Source organism: Homo sapiens, chromosome 5, assembly GCF_000001405.40.
Source record: "Homo sapiens chromosome 5, GRCh38.p14 Primary Assembly".
NCBI lineage: Eukaryota > Metazoa > Chordata > Mammalia > Primates > Hominidae > Homo > Homo sapiens.
This window is the reverse complement of record NC_000005.10, coordinates 116,070,922-116,088,508: the sequence shown is the minus strand read 5'-3', so window position 1 is coordinate 116,088,508 and position 17,587 is coordinate 116,070,922. Positions and strand designations below refer to the sequence as shown.

Genomic DNA, 17,587 nt, shown 5'->3' with positions numbered 1-17,587 from the left:
ACAGTCACTGATGGCTTTGAACACTGTAAAAAATATAATACATCTTTGTTTCAGGAAAAAAAATTTAGAAAGTAATTTACATAGTATTATGAAGCAGTAGAAAGCAAGAAGACTATAGGCAGGGAAACCAGCTTGAAGGTAACTATTGTCATCTAAAAAAGAGGTACTAAAGATTTGACCTAGAATTGTGAGAACTTGGATTTGAAAGACACTTCAAAGGGGAAAGGCACAGTTTTGAGGCTGGCTCTTGGCCAAGAAAAACAAGATGACAGAGTAAGAGTCTTGGTTCTCAATGGATGGTGATACATGGCACTGCACAGAGCAGTTAGTGGGTGCTCCATAAATATGAGATGGAATCAAATTTTTATAACCTGATAAAGAAATTAACTAAATTAACTTGGATTGGGCCAGGTAGAGAATTACAAAGCATCCACATGTCCAAAACAACCATATCCTTAAAATAAAAGTGAAAGAGAAACAAAATTAAGTGAAAGATTAAATACCAGTTGATAGAAAATACCACAGAATTATTTTTAAGCGGAAAAATAAAACCAAGACATCAGAATTTTTCCCTAAAGTATATTTTTAGAACTTTAGTCCCAAAATATATACCATAATAAAACAGATCCAAGGTCAAACACATTTGGAAAATGTTACCTGCCATAATCACCCTCGAATACATACCACAAACACTAGCATATAAAATACTCTGAAAAGTTCCATAATTTAAAACATTTAACTTTATTGAAGACAGAGTTTCTCAAACTTCTGACCATGAAACATTACCAAATCTTCCACAGAACCAGTGTCTCTAAGAACATATTGGAGAACACTATGCTTTGCAAAAAGTTCTCCAAATAATCAGACTTTCAATTAAATCAGAAGGAAGATTACAAGGCATGGAAACACACAAATACAAACCTTCAGGTGAAGTTTTTGAAGAATCCGAGTGAGCAACCGTGGAAATCTTCCTGTATCTATTGCATTTATCAGTGACACTGCTTTCTTCATGCTAAACAAAATTATAAAACAGAGTTTTGAAATGAGTTTTCCAAGTTGAACTGCACTTTCTATAGTTGTCTATAAGTTTTCATTCCAACAACTCTGAATGCTATATGGTAAATCTGAGTGAAATAAAAACAGATGACAGCCAGCAAAAAAGGCAGGGCAACGGGTACATTTCCAAAAAGATGCCCCCAAAATTACTTCTGCTGAAAAGGTCCATTTGGCAAATTTTCTCTTTCTTTTGGGCAAACCAAACTACTAGGGAAACCTTGTACTGCGCAGGGAAGAGCCTTAATTTAGTAGAGCGTTTATATAAACACTTAACCCAAAAATGGAACTCTGAAAGGGGTGGGAGGAGAGGAATAGCAATTATGGCAATTACACCAAAAACATAAAAGAATACTGCAAGGCAAATAACTTTTCAAATACTATGTACAAAATCATCTGGGGTCACTAAGCACACAGTTATTTTAAAACCCTGTTTCAACTGTAAAATCAAATTTATTATTACAACAGTAATCAATTTTGAGATAGGGTCTTACTCTGTCACCCAGGCTGGAGTGCAGTGGCACGATCTCAGCTCACTACAGCCTCTGCCTCCTGGGTTCTAAGAATCCTTGTGCCTCAGCCTCCCAAGTAGCTAGAACTACATGCGCGGGCCACAGCGCTGGCTAATTTTTGTATTTTTTGTAGAGACAGAGTTTTGCCCTGTTGCCCAGGCTGGTCTTGAACTCCTGAGCTCAATCAGTCCTGCAGTGGCTCACCCCTATAATCCCAGCACTTTGCAAGGCCAGGGAGGACAGATCACCCGAAGCCAGGAGTTCCAGACCAGCCTAGCCAACATGGTGAAACCCCATCTTTACTAAAAATACAAAAAATTAGCTGGGCGTGGTGGCGGGTGCCTGTAATCCCAGCTACTCAGGAGGCTCAGGGAGGAGAATCGCTTGAACACAGGAGGCGGAGGCTGCAGTGAGCCGAGATGGCGCCATTGCACTCCAGCCTGCGCAACAAGAGGGAAACGCCCTCTCAGGGAAAAAAAAGAGAGAGAGATTAGCCCGCCTCAGCCTCCCAAAGTGCTGGAATTACAGGCATGAGCCACAGCACCTTTCCTGTAATAATCAACTTTAAATGATGTGATGAGAACAATTCTATACTGCACCATATTGGATACAGTTTACTGATGTAGCGGTGTTCCCCAAGACACTGGTATGAGGAAAGAAACTGGCGATCAGAACCAAAGTGAGGCAGGAAAATAGGGTCAGGAGGCTGGGAACATAAAGCTGATTCCCACTTCAGCTATGACAAGAAATGTCCTCTCCATATGGCATAGGCGGAGAAAATGACTTTGTAACTTTACTTCATCCTCTTCATTTACATAGGGAGTACACCAAGTAACCAATGGAATCCTCTAGAGGGTATTTAAATTCCCAAAAATTCTGTAGGGGCCCTTCAGCCCCTATGCTCAAGCAGCTCCCACACTGTGGAGGGTAGTTTCATTTTCAATAAATGTCTTCTTCATTCTTTCCTCGCTTTCTTTGTGCGTCTTCTCCAGTTCTTTGTTCAAGACGCCAAGAACCTGGACACCCTCCACTGGTAACAAAAGGAATCCAGAAAGAAGGAAAAACTTTAAAATAACTCTTTTCTTCTGAAAGATTTCTACCCAATCCAAGCACAAAGAAATTACTTCCGAACACTATTTTGCCTATATACTTCAGTACTTTTTCTGTATCCACACGCTACCTGCACTATTGCTTATTTTTTCACAAATTGAGTCTTTTTTTACTTAAATAATGTTAAAGGGGAGCTTTATATCACTACCATGGACAACCAACTTTATCTACCATAAGTAGAAATTAACTAAAAATCTGTTTAAAATGCAAATAAAAGCAAATGCTACCAAAGCCAGGCTAGATTCTTCTACCAACCAAAAATTCGGTCCCCTATTCGATACTGATTTAAAAGGGGTATTAACACATGTTGGCTATTAAAGACCCTCCAGCAGCAGCGTGAGCCTTTCCCACCAGAGTGTCTGAACCGGAACTGAAATCGGAAACGGAATACCGTTCCACGTGATTCGGCAGCACTGAAGGCAGCACCCGGGAACTTCTGATACCAAACTCCGCGAACAGTGACGCAGACCCCACGCTTGCAGACCACACGCTTCCGTACAGACCTCAGCTGCCAGGCGCACTGTGAGCCCCACAGGTGGACCACCGTGACTGTAGAGGCGCTACACGGCCCCACGCACTCCGCAGACGCAGCGTCGCAACCTCGGCAGCCCACCCCACCCCACCCCACTCAACCGGGCCCGCCGCGGCGCCCAGGCGGCAGGCAGCAAGGACAGCCTTGTGCGAGCCCGATCTGGGCCTTCCTGGGCGCGGCTACCGCAAGAGCTTAACGGATCAGCTACCTGGGGCTCTCCCGTAGGATCAGCGCCGCGGGGACCGCCATCTTCGGCTTTCTCGCACTGCCGCCGTCTGTTAGCTGCGCCGAACCCAGCCAATGGCGGCCGCGGCGGACGGAAAGCCGGAAGGCCCAAGCCGCGCAGGGGCCGTTTTAGGGCTCCGGGTCTCCTGCGACCCGGGCGCCGGGAGACTTGTCCCGCAGTCCTGGAGGGCGGAGAGGGCAGCCCAGTTGCCCTCCCGACACTCCAATCGTGTTGGAGTTAAGTCTGTGCATATATATGTCTTTATATTTATATATTATATATGTATGTACATACCTGGATAGGGGTGTGTGTCTGTATTTAATAGGGCAGGTTTAAGCAAGTCTATGTACAGACCTGTATAGATATATGTGTGTATGTTCGTGCATAAATATATACATTATTATTTTTAATAGGGCAGGTTTAAGCAAGCCCGTGTATACATACTTGGATAAATGGTGTGTGCGTGTGTATATTTTTTTAATAGGGCGGGTTTAAGTGAGCCTGTGTGTACATACTTGGATAGGTGATTTGTGAGTATTTTTTTTTCCAGCGTTTGGGCTACAGAGAGGCAGGCATTTGAGCGAGCTCCCCCGAGCCTGCCCAGGAAGCGGCGCATCACCCCTCAGGAGAGGTGGTGCCTCCAGTTCCACCCTAAGCACTGTGCCGTCAACCCCTCCTGTATCTGCATCTGCAGGGCTTGTAGTATGTACGTTCAATTCCTTCAGCAACGTTCAATGAATGAGTGCCTACTGTGTACCAAGCACTGTTCTAGGCACTGGAGATACAAAAGGCCAAAATTCCTGCCCTCAGGGTTTGCCGGCAGTCTAAATGGACAAGTATTTGTTGCACCCTTCTTTAGAGTCTGACAGTGCAGAGTAGGGGAGATGAATCGCTGCAGTGAGTGATGTCAAAGACCTCACCCAAGACTAGGGAGACACCATGTTTGCATAAATACCTTGGTCTGCCTTTGAGAAAAACATGGAGTGAGTTAAAGGAATTCAGATGTGGGAGCAGTGAAAGGCATCCGAGGTAAGATCAGGAAAAGCTCCCTAGGGCAGGTGGCAAATGCGGTGGGTCTGCAGAGATGTGGAGGGTGAGGCTGTGTGTTTCAGGTCAGTAGAGTAGAAGGGCGGTTTGACGTTTGAAGAACAGGAATTTAGACTAGAAAAAGCCTTTAATGACTGGTTGTGGCATGTGCACTTAATCTGGTGAGAAATGGGTAAGCATTAAATGTTTTTTCTATCCATTAAATGTTTTGAACCAAAGAAATTTTGCAGTGGGAGTTGGATTTTTGAAGGTTGCTGTCAGCAGAATGATGATTGAAATGGAAAGAGGTAAGCAGGAGAGCTACCTGGAAACTACTGCAATAATCTATAGAAAGCAGTAAAATCCTGTGGTACTAAAAAGGCATTGGTGAATTAAAAGATAGTGGATGGATTAGTTACGTTTCAGCAGTAGAATATTCAAGAGCTGCCAAAAAATTGAATTTAATTTTCCTTCCTAATTATGTTTTACTTAAATTATTATTTAAATTAGTTGGAGTTCCTGGAGCAGCCCAAGAACAACCTAACTGAAAGGAGAAACCAGATTGCACATTAAATCTGAATAATCTCCACATGGATAATTGAGTCAATTATACAGTGTGTTGAACACATACAAATACATTTAGTTCCACAACACTCTACAGTCCCCAATGTATGCATATCTGAAAAAGATGTATGTGAATCTACATAAATTATAGGTCTCTGATCCAAACACAGATGACCTCATCTGCAACTTAAAAGGGTCCCAGTTCCCTCATTCTTTGAATCATTTCCCTTTTGTCTTGATTCCTTACCTGAAGTAGAACCACTAACCAACTAAAACTGTTTCAAATCCCTAATGAAGTTCACCCTCTGATTGCCTTAAAAATATATAGCCAGAATTTTGAGCAAAAGAGCATCAAGATGGCTCAAATCCCAAATCCATGTAACCTTGGACAAAGTACTTAACCTCAACAAGTTTCTCATTCCCAATCTGTAATGGGGATGAGAATAATGTCTGCTCCCTTGGATCTTAATGAGATTTAAATAATGTGGTACGTATGTAAAAGAAACATTCTACCCTCCTTAGAAAACAAAACCCAGACCTCTTAGGTGTTCACAAAAGCAAGTCTCCAGTGGACACAGAGGCGACTCACTCTAATGCTCTTCATTTTCAATGATGGGCTGATTACTTCTTATTACCATGTTTCTATAAAGGCGTGATGCTGTGAATAGTTTCACACCTCAAATGAGAACCTCACCCAAGATATTTCTGCATTCTCTGGAATATAGACATCTATGTCCATGAAAAGTCCTTTTAGTTGTCTGCTATTATTGTGTGGGAGTCTTAAGTCTCTTCGTAGGTCTCTAAGAACTTGCTTTAGAATCTGGGTGCTCCTATATTGGGTGCATATATATTTAGGATAGTTAGCTCTTCTTGTTGCATTGATCCCTTTACCATTATGTAATGCCCTTCTTTGTCTTTTTTGATCTTTGTTGGTTTAAAGTCTGTTTTGCTAGAAACTAGGATTGCAACCCCGGCTTCTTTTTGCTTCCCATTTGCTTGGTAAATATTTCTCCATCCCTTTATTTTGAGCCTATGTGTTTCTTTGCACACAAGATGGGTCTCCTGAATACAGCACACCAATGGGTCTTGATTCTTTATCCAATTTGCCAGTCTGTGTATTTTAATTGGCGCATTTAGCCCATTTACGTTTAAGGTTAATATTATGTGTGAATTTGATCCTGTCATATGATACTAGCTGGCTATTTTGCCCATTAGTTGATGTAGTTTCTTCATAGTGTCAATGGTCTTTACATTTTGGTCTGTTTTTGCAATGGCTGGTACTGATTTTTCCTTTCCATATTTAGTGCTTCCTTCAGGAGCTCTTGTAAGGCAGGCTGGTGGTGACAAAATCCCTCAGCATTTGTTTGTCTGTAAAGGATTTTATTTCTCCTTCGCTTATGAAGCTTAGTGTGGCTAGATAAGAAATTCTGGGTTGAAAATTCGTTTCTTTAAGAATGTTGAATATTGGCCCCCACTCTCTTCTGGTTTGTAGGGTTTCTGCAGAGAGATCCGCTGTTAGTCTGATGGGCTTCCCTTTGTGGGTAACCTGACCTTTCTCTCTGGCTGCCCTTAACATTTTTTCCTTCATTTCCACGTTGGTGAATCTGACGATTATGTGTCTTGGGGTTGTTCTTCTCGAGGAGTATCTTTGAGGTGTTCTCTGTATTTCCTGAATTTGAATGTTGGCCTGCCTTGCTAGGTTGGGGAAGTTCTCCTGGATAATATCCTGAAGAGTGTTTTCCAGCTTGGTTACATTCTCCCCATCACTTTCAGGTACACCAATCAAGCATACGTTTGGTCTTTTCACATAGTCCTACATTTCTTGGAGGCTTTTTTCGTTCCTTTTCATTCTTTTTTCTCTAATCTTGTCTTCATGCTTTATTTCATTAAGTTGATCTCCAATCTCTGATATCCTTTCTCCTGCTTGATTGATTCAGCTATTGATACTTGTGTATGCTTCACAAAGTTCTCATGCTGTGTTTTTCAGCTCCATCAGGTCATTTATGTTCTTCTATAAACTGGTTATTCTAGTTGGCAGTTCCTGTAACCTTTTATCAAGGTTCTTAGCTTCCTTGCATTGGGTAGAACATGCTCCTTTAGCTCAGAGGAGTTTGTTATTACCCACCTTCTGAAGCCTACTTCTGTCAATTCATCAAACTCATTCTCCATCCAGTTTTGTTCCCTTGCTGGTGAGGAGTTGTGATCCTTCGGATGAGAAGACGCATTCTGGTTTTTGGAACTTTCAGCCTTTTTGCGCTGGTTTTTTCTTATCTTCGTGGATTTATCTACCTTTGGTCTTTGATGTTGGTGACCTTCTGATGGGATTTTTATGTGGGTGTCCTTTTTGTTGATGTTGATGCTATTGTTTTTTGTTTGTTAGTTTTCCTTCTAACAGTCAGGCCCCTCTTCTGCAGGTCTGCTGGAGTTTTCTGTAGGTCCACTCCAGATGCTGTTTGCCTGGGTATCACCAGCAGAGGCTGCATAACAGCAAAGATTGCTGCCTGCCCCTTCCTCTGGAAGCTTTGTCCCAGAGGGTACCCACCAGATGCCAGCTGGAGCTCTCCTGTATGAGGTGTCTGTCCACCGCTGCTGGGAGGTGTCTCCCAGTCAGGAGGCATGGGGGTCAGGGACCCACTTGAGGAGGCAGTCTGTCCCTTAGCAGAGCTCAAGTGCTGTGCTGGGAGATCCGCTTCTCTCTTCAGAGCCAGCAGGCAGGAATGTTTAAGTCAGCTGAAACTGCACCCACAGCCACCCCTCCCCCAGGTGCTCTGTCCCAGGTAGATGGGGGTTTTATCTATAAGCCCCTGACTGGGGCTGCTGCCTTTCTTTTGGAGATGCCCTGCCCAGGAAGGAGGAATCTAGAGAGGCTGTCTGGCTACAGTGGCTTTGCCGAGCTGCAGTGGGTTTGCACCCAGTTGGAACTTCCCAGCGGCTTTGTTTACAATGAGGGGAAAACCGCCTGCTCAAGCCTCAGTAATGGCAGACGCCCCTCCGCCCACCAAGCTCAAGCGTCCCAGGTTGACTTCAGACTGCTATGCTGGTAGTGAGAATTTCAAGCCAGTGCATCTTAGCTTGCTGGGCTCCATGGGGGTGGGATCCACTGAGCTAGACCACTTGGCTCCATGGCTTCAGCCCCCTTTCCACGGGAGTAAACAGTTCTGTCTCGCTGGCATTCCAGGCACCACTGGAGTCAAACAAAACTCCTGCAGCTAGCACGGTCCAAACGGCCTCCCAGTTTTGTGCTTGAAACCCAGGGCCCTGGTGGTGTAGGCACCTGAGGGAATCTCCTAGTCTGCGGGTTGTGAAGACCCTGGGAAAAGCGTAGTATCTGGGCCGGATGGCACCTTCCCTCAAGGCTTCACTTGGCTAGGGAAGGGAGTTCCCTGACCCCTTGCACTTCCCGGGTGAGACAATGTCCCACCCTGCTTCTGCTCACCTTCTGTGGGCTGCACCCACTGTCTATCCAGTCCCAATGAGATGAACCGGGTACCTCAGTTGGAAGTGCAGAAACCACCCGCTTTCTGCGTTGGTCTGGCTGGGAGCTGCATGCTGGAGCTGTTCTTATTCGGCCATCTTGCCAGCCAAGTAAAATATCCATTGCAAACTTTTATGAAGTCCACTTTTTATTACATTCTGTATTAGCCTGACTTTTCTAGAAAACAAGCCTAGTTATTATACATCCTTCATCAGGAACTATAATTGCAAGGGAGTAGGAATGCAGGCAAAAGGGAAACTAAGGAAAGGTAAGGAGAAAGCAAATACAGGGTGGCATGTTATCGAACTGGTTACAGCTTCAAAACCTAGCTTATTTCTCAGTACTCTGGGATATTTCCAGAGAGGCTATTCAGAATCACTGTGTCTTGGAACAACATGGCGTGGGAGTGGAAGAAAGAAATTGTCTGTGAACTCTTTCCAATTTTTTCTTTCTTCATCAAAATTTGTCCTATAACTCATGCTCCTGCATTTCTAGGATATGTCACCTGGTGCCTCTAGGCAGCCCCACTGGAAAATTCAGAGCTTCCCTGGTTCCAATAGAATAGGAACTGAGTCCTGAAGCTATAGCAGAAGAGGAACCCATGGTTCAGTCCCTGCCCATAGCCCCTTCCTTATCCCCCTCCCTCTGCCCTGCCAAGGGTGGCAGTGAGTGACAGGAGCTTTAAACCATGGCAACTGTCAGAGTTTCCAGGGGCCATTTTGTCAGGAAAGTAGAGCAACATGCTGAAGCCTTGGAAACAAGTGGGGCTGAACTTACCTGGGGAGGGGCATAACTTGGAGACAGTTCTAGCCTTTAGTGGAGTCTCAAAACAAGAGGTGCTTAGGCCCTAACTGCTTCAGTCTTTACTGTGCAGCTTTTTCAATTCACATTCACCTAGTTTGCCCAGAGTACATCATGGCACAACTTGGAGTAAGTTCTGGTGTCAGCCCTCCCTGTATCCTGGAAGCTAAAACTTCCCTCTGAGTGTGAGCTTTGTCCTGTTTGGAAGGGCTCCTTAGTGGCCTCTACCTACAGCGCCACTGTACACTCGCCCTCCCCCCATCAGGCGTGATTTATATTTTTGACACCCAGTGATGTAAAGCCAAGATCTGGGGTGTTTTTCTCCCAGAAGTCTTCCCCCAACCCTAAAGGAACTCTGAAGACACCAGGGATCCTCACCCAAATCTATCCTTCGACATTCCAGTCCCAAATGCAAATGATTATCTTTGGAGGAAGAGTAACACCTACTCACCCACCAGAATAGTGTCCCCAGAAACCTAGTCCAGCTGAAATGATCTTTTAAGTAATTTTTTGATATATATTCTCAAATAGGGGGATGCAGGCATTTTATTATGTACCTCAGATTGTTCTGGCAAAGGGTTGCCCAACTATGTGACCCAGTTCCTTAACATTTTGAAAGTCTGAAGTCCTACAACTTATCCTGAGTTCATCAAATGCATCTAGCAAAGAGACGTATAAAGGCAGGAGACTCAAACTATCTGCTACCCATGTCTGACTGCCAGACTGACTATAAAACACAAACTTCATATTGAACAGCTTTGTCACGTTCACCTGCAGACGCTGTTGCCCCAGTTTTCCTCTTTCCCACCCCGCACTGCACACGCTCTTCTCCCTCTCCTTACCATCACACACATGCAGTTTCTAGCCCTGTTTTTAGCTCTGCAGTCAGCACTTGCCTCATAGGTGTGAGAGAATCAATTGAAGTGGAACTGAAGAACAGCCTTCTAGATAGTAAACATGTAATTGTTCATTTCACATTGCCTCCCCAGAGTCCTAGGGGGATAAAGTTTTAAAATTACATATTTTTATTTATGAGTTACTTATGTGAATATTCCTGTTTAATGTGATACACATAGGGAATAAAGAATGCTTGAACACAATCTATTCTCTGAATATTTGCACAACAGGCTGTACTGTAGAAAGAAGCAAGAAATGGCCGGGCGCAGTGGCTCACGCCTGTAATCTCAGCACTTTGGGAGACCGAGGAGGGCAGATCACGAGGTCAAGAGATTGAGACCATCCTGGCCAACATGGTGAAACCCTGTCTCTACTAAAAATACAAAAATTAGCTGGGTATGGTGGTGCGCACCTGTAGTCCCAGCTACTCAGGAGGCTGAGACAGGAGAATCACTTGAATCCGGGAGGTGGAGGTTGCAGTGAGCCGAGATCGTGCCACTGCACTCCAGCCTGGTGCCAGAGTGAGACTGTGTCTCAAAAAAAAAAAAAAAAACAGAAGCAAGAAACAGAGAATAGTATCCAGGGTGTAGGCCACATTTTCCCATAAAAAACAATATTTATGTTCACCCACCCTTAAACAAATGGAGGGTGGGGAAGAGGATGAGAGGGAAATATTTATTAAAATGTAGCAAAAATACACTTTATAATATATGAACAGATCCCCTCCTAATGTATTCTCAAACTTAAAAGTTGAAGACCATCTCAAATTATCACTCGTCCATTTTCATTTGCACCTAGTTTTTCCCGTCCTGCCTCCCAGAGGTCTGTGCCATTAACAGGACCGATATTTACACATAGGATGTGTGAAAGACAGAGTGCTTTCTTCAGTAATTTTCACCTGTGAACACCATTTGAAAAGAATCGGTGGACATGTCAGAGTGAGGCAAGATTACAGACTCCCTTTTACGCCACAGCTAGTAAAAAAAACTAAAAAAAGTAAACATCATAAATAGACAACAGGAAAAAGAAATCAACTTATTAACAGCAAACAAACAAACAAGCATAAGTTAATACTACACTTGAAAAATGATCTGACGAGAAAAGAAACCGAACTTCTGCCTTAGCTAAGCTGGATCCTAAAGGTGGTCCCCAACTTGCTGAAACTGTGCTAGGAAAAGAAGGTTTCCACAAAACCATGAGCGTTCTCTTTATATCCCCAAACTTGGAGAGGAGCAGAATTGGAGGTATATAGTCAGCCAAGAAGAAATCATGAAAAATACCTGGAGAATATAAATGCCTGAGGCTGATGCAGGACTAGCGGAGTCCAGAGGAAGCTCCGGAGGTCACTCTTTTGATGTATCTGAGTGAGGGAAAAAGTAGAGCAAAAAGGCAGAAAAACAAAATACATCTAATTATCTCAAATGATGAATAGGAAGCTATGAAAGTTGAAGATAAAAGAGAAAATAAAAAATAAGACACCCACACAAAAAGCCAGTGGAAAAGATGATTACATTGAAGCTACAGTGAAAATAGCCTTCCCTCACCCTGCCTGCCTTAATGTTAACACTGGCTGAAACCCACAGGCACTCTGATTCTTTCTCTATACTAAGTGGAAATGAAAGAATGAAATGGGGAAGTAAAAACCAGGGCTGACTCAGGAAGAATCAGAGGTTCCGGGACTCTACCATTAAAGGAGGACTGATCTGAAGCCTGGGGGATACCCCCTCAGCTACTGGACATGCCCATACCAGTCAAGTGAATCTTGATACAAGACAGTTGACAAAATCTCAGAACTAAGAAAGTAAAAACTAAAGCCACTAATAAATGCTACCCTCAACCCTAAGCTTTTATTAAAAAGTAGAATGGAATATTGAGTCATCAAGCTAGCATAGATGGAAAGACAAATCAATCTCACATTAAAAAGAACCAAGAAGACATACCAGAGAAAATAGAGGTCTGGGCAGAGCTGTTCATGCTAAACACAAGTAGGATAGGAAGAAATGCCATGACAGTTGTGTAATAATTTTACAGGAAAATACATAAAAGGTATAGAGTATGCAAAAAACAAAAATTCCACTTGAATCCTTCTTGAGATAGAACTTAAGAAGGAAATTAATTCAGTGAAACGAGCTAAAAGACAACTTGACAAAATATCAAAATTAGATGTAAAACACGGAAATCAAAGAAAGGATTAAAAACACCATTTCTTATGATGTAAATTAGAAACTGCAAGGAAAAGACTGCACACAATTTTAAATTGAATTATGGACAGGGCAGAGGGGCTATTCAGAGTGAATGCAAAGAATGAGACAAACACAAAGTAGATACTAATAACAAAAACCAACCTAAAGATTACTGTCTCCAAGGCAAAGAACCCAACAAATAGACACAAAAATACTTTCAAATATGATAATAAGGAGTCTGACTCCATTTTTGATGTTGGCTGACAGATTTCAAGCCCCACTACTCCCTCTTCCCCTTCTGCCCCACATCTGGGCAAAGTGTTAAGCCCAGCTGTTTCCTTCTCTGGCACTGATGAGAAATTCAAGCCACGTAAGCCCCTGACTGCAACAGGGAAACCTCATCCTGGCCCGACCCCCAACCACCATAAAGCCCCAGGCCAATTGGCCTTCCCTGCTGTCGTAAGCCATTTTTGGTTTTGCTTGAGAGTCTGCTCTGCTCTCCCCAGAAAACCTCATTATGTAAGTAATAAATCTTGTTACATACCTCCCTGCTGCATGAATGGCATCATCAGTCTAGACACCTGTGTCAGTCTGTTTTCACACTGCTGATAAAGACATACCCAAGACTGGGCAATTTACAAAAGAAGGAGGTTTAATGGACTCATAGTTCCACGTGGCTGGGGAGGCCTCACAATCATGGCAGAAGGCAAAAGTCATGTCTCATATGGCAGCAGACAAGAATGAGCCAAGTGAAAGTGGTTTCCCCTTATAAAACCAGCAGATCTCATGAGGCTTATTCACCACCACAAGAACAGTGTGGGGGAACCGCCCCCATGATTTAATTATCTCCCAGTGAGTCCCTCCCACAACATGAGGGAATTATGGGAGCTACAATTCAAGGTGAGACGTGGGTGGGGACACAGCCAAACCATATCAACACCTAACCAAACTTGGTGTACAAAGTCCATTTTGCCTCTGTAGGATGATCAAAACAAATATTTAATAGAAGACCATTTCTCTGTAATGTCAGAAAAACTGAATATACAGTCTAATGAAAGAGCAAATTATTTTTTGGAAAAACTGATAGAATATGATGATTATGGGACAGATTCTGGTAAAATTATCAAATTCCAAGGATAAAGAAAAATTTATTCAAGCGACATGGTGAAAAAAGCATGTCACTTACAAGAGTAAAATAATCAACAACTTTCAGACTTCTTCATAGCAATGTCTACAAAGGGTCGAGAAAAGCGAACATGCTATTCAATATTAAAGCAAAAGTCAGATCTTACTAAGCGTGGCTGCATTCATAGTTTTCATGGGCTCTTTTTGTTAAAACTAATAGTTGAGAACAAGCCAACCAAGAGATTAATGAAAATACAGAACTCAGTAGCAGAGATGCGGTGGCATGTAGTGAACATTAAATCCATATAAAACTAAAATTTAGTTAATTTATGAAATTAAGTAGAAATGTTATAATGTTTGATAATATAGAATCATCATATAGCTTAGACAACTGATTTTTAAATGGACAAAATTGGGTGGAATAAAGTTTTAAGAGTACTTATTTCTTTATCTTTCAAAGCAAATGCTATGAATCAAACATTCTCTTAAAGAAATACAACAGTGCCCCATAAATATCTATACCTACTATGTCCCAACAAAATTTAAAAAATTAAAATGAAATACATTATTTAAAAAATAAATTGATTATAACATCTTAAAATGTTTCCATAATCTTTTTTTTTTTTTTTGAGTTGGAGTCTCACTCTGTCACCCACTGCAAGCTCCGCCTCCTGGGTTCATGCCATTCTCCTGCCTCAGCCTCCTGAGTAGCTGGGACTACAGGTGCCTGCCACCACGCCTGGCTAATTTTTTGTATTTTTAGTAGAGATGTGGTTTCACTATGTTATCCAGGATGGTCTCAATCTCCTGACCTCTTGATCTGCCCGCCTCAGCCTCCCAAAGTGCTGGGATTACAGGCATGAGCCACCATGCCAGGCCCCAAATGTTTCCATAATCTCTTTAAAACTTTGCAGAGGTGGCACTCTAGAGAACTCTAGTCTGAATATGGCTCATGGGCTATAGAAATACTGTGCTTGCTTATTTTGTTTAACCTACTCAGTGATGACATAGACAATGTAACCAGAGAGATTCTTATTTTGAAAACAATAGAAGCAACTTAATTTTTATAGTTTGCTGCATGAGTCATAAAGTCCCTATGCCTAAAGGCATTTAAGTTTGTGACCCCCATCTTAGAGGAATATTTTAGGGACAAACATCTCTTTGTTAAGGAAACAACTCTTTAATATACAGCAATTTCTATAGTTTTTTTTCTTCTCTTTTCCACTTTAATAAAATCATTTCTATATATCTGTATCACATATATTAGATATATAGCATATAGATTGAGATCTAGATATAAATATGCATACAGTGATTACTAAAATTAGGTTTGGTTAATGTCCACAATTATTTCAGGCTGGTGAGATTTTCTGTAAGTTTTTACCTTCTCTGTATTACTTGAACTTCCAATGATGAGAATTAATTATTTTTACCATCAGTTACTATTCAAAAGATCATGAAGACCAAGATAATTAGTTATGTGCCCAGGATATTTTATATTAGGTACTAACATATTTTACATGCCAAGAAAAATTCTTTGTGGGACCTAACATTAACATCATTCTTATGGTAATTTGTAAATAATATTAATTTATTATTATCAAAATATACTTAAGATTTTTGTGTGTTAAATGAAAGGTCTAAAGTAAATTATTAATATTATTGCATTTGGGAAAAAGGCAAATATATCTCTTCAGAGTAACTGCCTATTTTTTATTTACACAAGATTTTAAAAAGTTTTTTCTTTACAGTTTGCTTAGATTAGTAAATTAACAAGATGGGTACAGTTACTTTCCTTCAGGATCAGAGTCGGCGTGGCATTGCTAAAGACAAAGTGGTGCTTCTAACAAGCCAAAGAGCTCGAGAGGTTCCAATCTGCCCCTTAGAGCCATAGGTAAATACAGATTATTTGAATGACTCTACCCAGTCTCCTCATTGTTCCAGCATGCCATGCCCATTCTCAGTTGTGTCTAGTTTTGTAGTCTCTTCTTTGTAATATACTCTCCCCACAGTTCCTACATCTCCAGAAGGGAATATGTAGAGGTATTTGAGTTGTTCCAATGCCTTACAAATGTTACTGATACATAGCAGGAATCACAGTCTCACACAATGATGAATTATCCACCCAAGGTGCCAATAGCATCTGTGTGGAGAAACCAAACCTTCAAGACTTCAAGATCCAACTCAGTTCACACTTTCTAAAATGTACACCACCTACTCACCTTCTTCTCTGGACTTTGAGAGGGTTTCTTATATGAAGCAAACATTTTAGCAAGGAATTCTATATGATTGCCTTTCTTCATTAGCCAACTGTTGTAAAGGCATAGATCCATCCTTAGACTTCTTTAGAGACCTCATCATACCCAGTATCATATGGGTGCCTGGGATAGATAAAATAAAACTATTTCAAACCCTTTTACAGTGAAGATTTAAGCTCTTGGTTGGACAGCCAATTTAGTTAAATGGTATGTCTAAGGATGCAGAAATCTGTGAACACTACATTCAAAGAGAAATAGTGTTTCCCTAAACACATAACTTTATTTGATTCCTTGATTTATTCTACTTTGAAGTTAGTAAGTTTTATTGAGATCTTGAAAAATGAGTTGAAATACTGTATTTTCATAGCTGTCTTTCCAGAATTCAAGACGCTTCACAATACTTTCATGTTTCGACAAACTAATGGTAAAATACTGTGTTTCAAATGTGTGTATAAAATTTTTTTTGATTCCTTCATGACTTTTCCTTATTTTTGTATGGCAGAATTTGTTCATCAAGGTCAACTTGGTAAATATATAATTGTGGAACATTTGATTTGAGGTTTAACTTTAGTGTGAAAGCCTATTAACTCAATCACACCTAGTGCCCTAATCTTGGTTTCTAATATTCTCCAATAAAAAGAACCTGGACTTGTTGGAGAAATGGCTGATTCTAGGACTGGGGCAGTAAGTACAAAATGAGCCTGGGACACCTTGTAGTGCAGGGAGTAAGGAAGTGCTAAAAATTTAAAATAAAATTTTAAAACTCACAATGATTCAGATATGTTAAAGGACCATAGAACGCAACTGAAAAAAACTCCTAATAGCTTAAAACCAAATGATAAAATGAATATCCACAAGTCCATACTGATCTAAACAAATAATTTAATAAATTATTCCATTATTTAAATAATTGAATAATTATTGAGTAAATAGAAGGGAGAGAAGACAAAATTTCCTGCGTAAAATTACAAATAATTTATATAAATACCCATCCCTGAAGAGAGGGAAGCATAACTCTCTACTCCTTAATTATAGGCTACACATAGTGACTTCTTTCCAAAGAGTGCAGTTTGTAAGGGTGGTAGGGGTAGAGTCACTTTACAGTGAAGAATCCTGACAAACACCACCTCAACCAGATGATCAAGGCCAACATTATCAGTGATGAATCATGTTGCTAGTAAGTACTCTTGGTATGGTGTCATGAAAATGGCAATTGGTCTTTGTGTCTTCTTCCAGAAACCCATAACTCTGGTTTCATTATGAGAAAAATGTCAGACAAATTCCAAGGGGACATTCTACAAAATACTTGACTAGGACTCCTCAAAACTGTCAAGGTCATCAAAAACAAGAAAAGCCCAAGAAACTATCACAGTCCAGAAGAGCCTAAAGAGACACGATGACTAAATGTAATGTGGTATTTTCAGTGGGATCCTGGAACACAAAAAGGACACTGGGCAATAAGTAAGAAATATGGATAAAGCATGGACTTTGGTTAACAATAATTTCTTATTATTGGTTCCTTCATTTTAACAAATATGCCGTACTCATTTGTCAGTAATACGGGAAATTGGGTGTGGAGTATATGGCCACTTTTACAGTCTTCACAATTTTTCTGTTTCTAAAACAGTTGTAGAAGATAAAGTTTATTTATTTTAAACCTATTAACTATTTTCAACTTTTTGAATTATGAAAGGAGTACTACTGTCAAAATGACACTTACAAAACTTAGAAATATTATCACCGTTACACTTTCCATAGCAGCACAAATCCGTCACAGGCACCATTGTGAATGCTATGCGGTGCCACCCAAAGCCTCCCTTTGAGG

At 41.1% G+C, this 17,587-nt stretch overlaps 1 protein-coding gene across 5 annotated transcripts in view, besides 3 other annotated features; it reads right to left on the bottom strand.

Annotated features, from left to right (window-relative positions):
- COMMD10 (COMM domain containing 10) overlaps positions 1-3,484 on the bottom strand; it is a 208,263-nt gene extending 204,779 nt beyond the window's left edge. For 3 of the 5 annotated variants that reach the window (NR_146220.2, NR_146218.2, NM_016144.4), the window contains exons 1-2: positions 3,416-3,484; positions 922-1,012 (exon numbers count right to left, since the gene is read on the bottom strand). Coding sequence is in view for 2 of the 5 variants with exons in the window: in NM_016144.4 (NP_057228.1) it covers positions 922-1,012; positions 3,416-3,456 (132 nt within the window). In the remaining 3 variants the exon portion in view is untranslated. The other 2 variants (NR_146219.2, NM_001308080.2) reach the window with 2 other exon arrangements.
- Positions 2,943-3,237: an enhancer, noted in NCBI's record as "tiled region #6; HepG2 Activating non-DNase unmatched - State 1:Tss, and K562 Activating DNase unmatched - State 1:Tss". NCBI's record gives its function as "activates a minimal TATA promoter and a strong SV40 promoter by Sharpr-MPRA in HepG2 and K562 cells {active_cell/tissue: HepG2 | K562}" and the evidence as "EXISTENCE:reporter gene assay evidence [ECO:0000049][PMID:27701403]".
- Positions 3,531-3,690: an enhancer, noted in NCBI's record as "active region_22944". NCBI's record gives its function as "activates an Ori minimal core promoter by ATAC-STARR-seq in GM12878 lymphoblastoid cells {active_cell/tissue: GM12878}" and the evidence as "EXISTENCE:reporter gene assay evidence [ECO:0000049][PMID:35858748]".
- Positions 11,841-11,990: an enhancer, noted in NCBI's record as "active region_22943". NCBI's record gives its function as "activates an Ori minimal core promoter by ATAC-STARR-seq in GM12878 lymphoblastoid cells {active_cell/tissue: GM12878}" and the evidence as "EXISTENCE:reporter gene assay evidence [ECO:0000049][PMID:35858748]".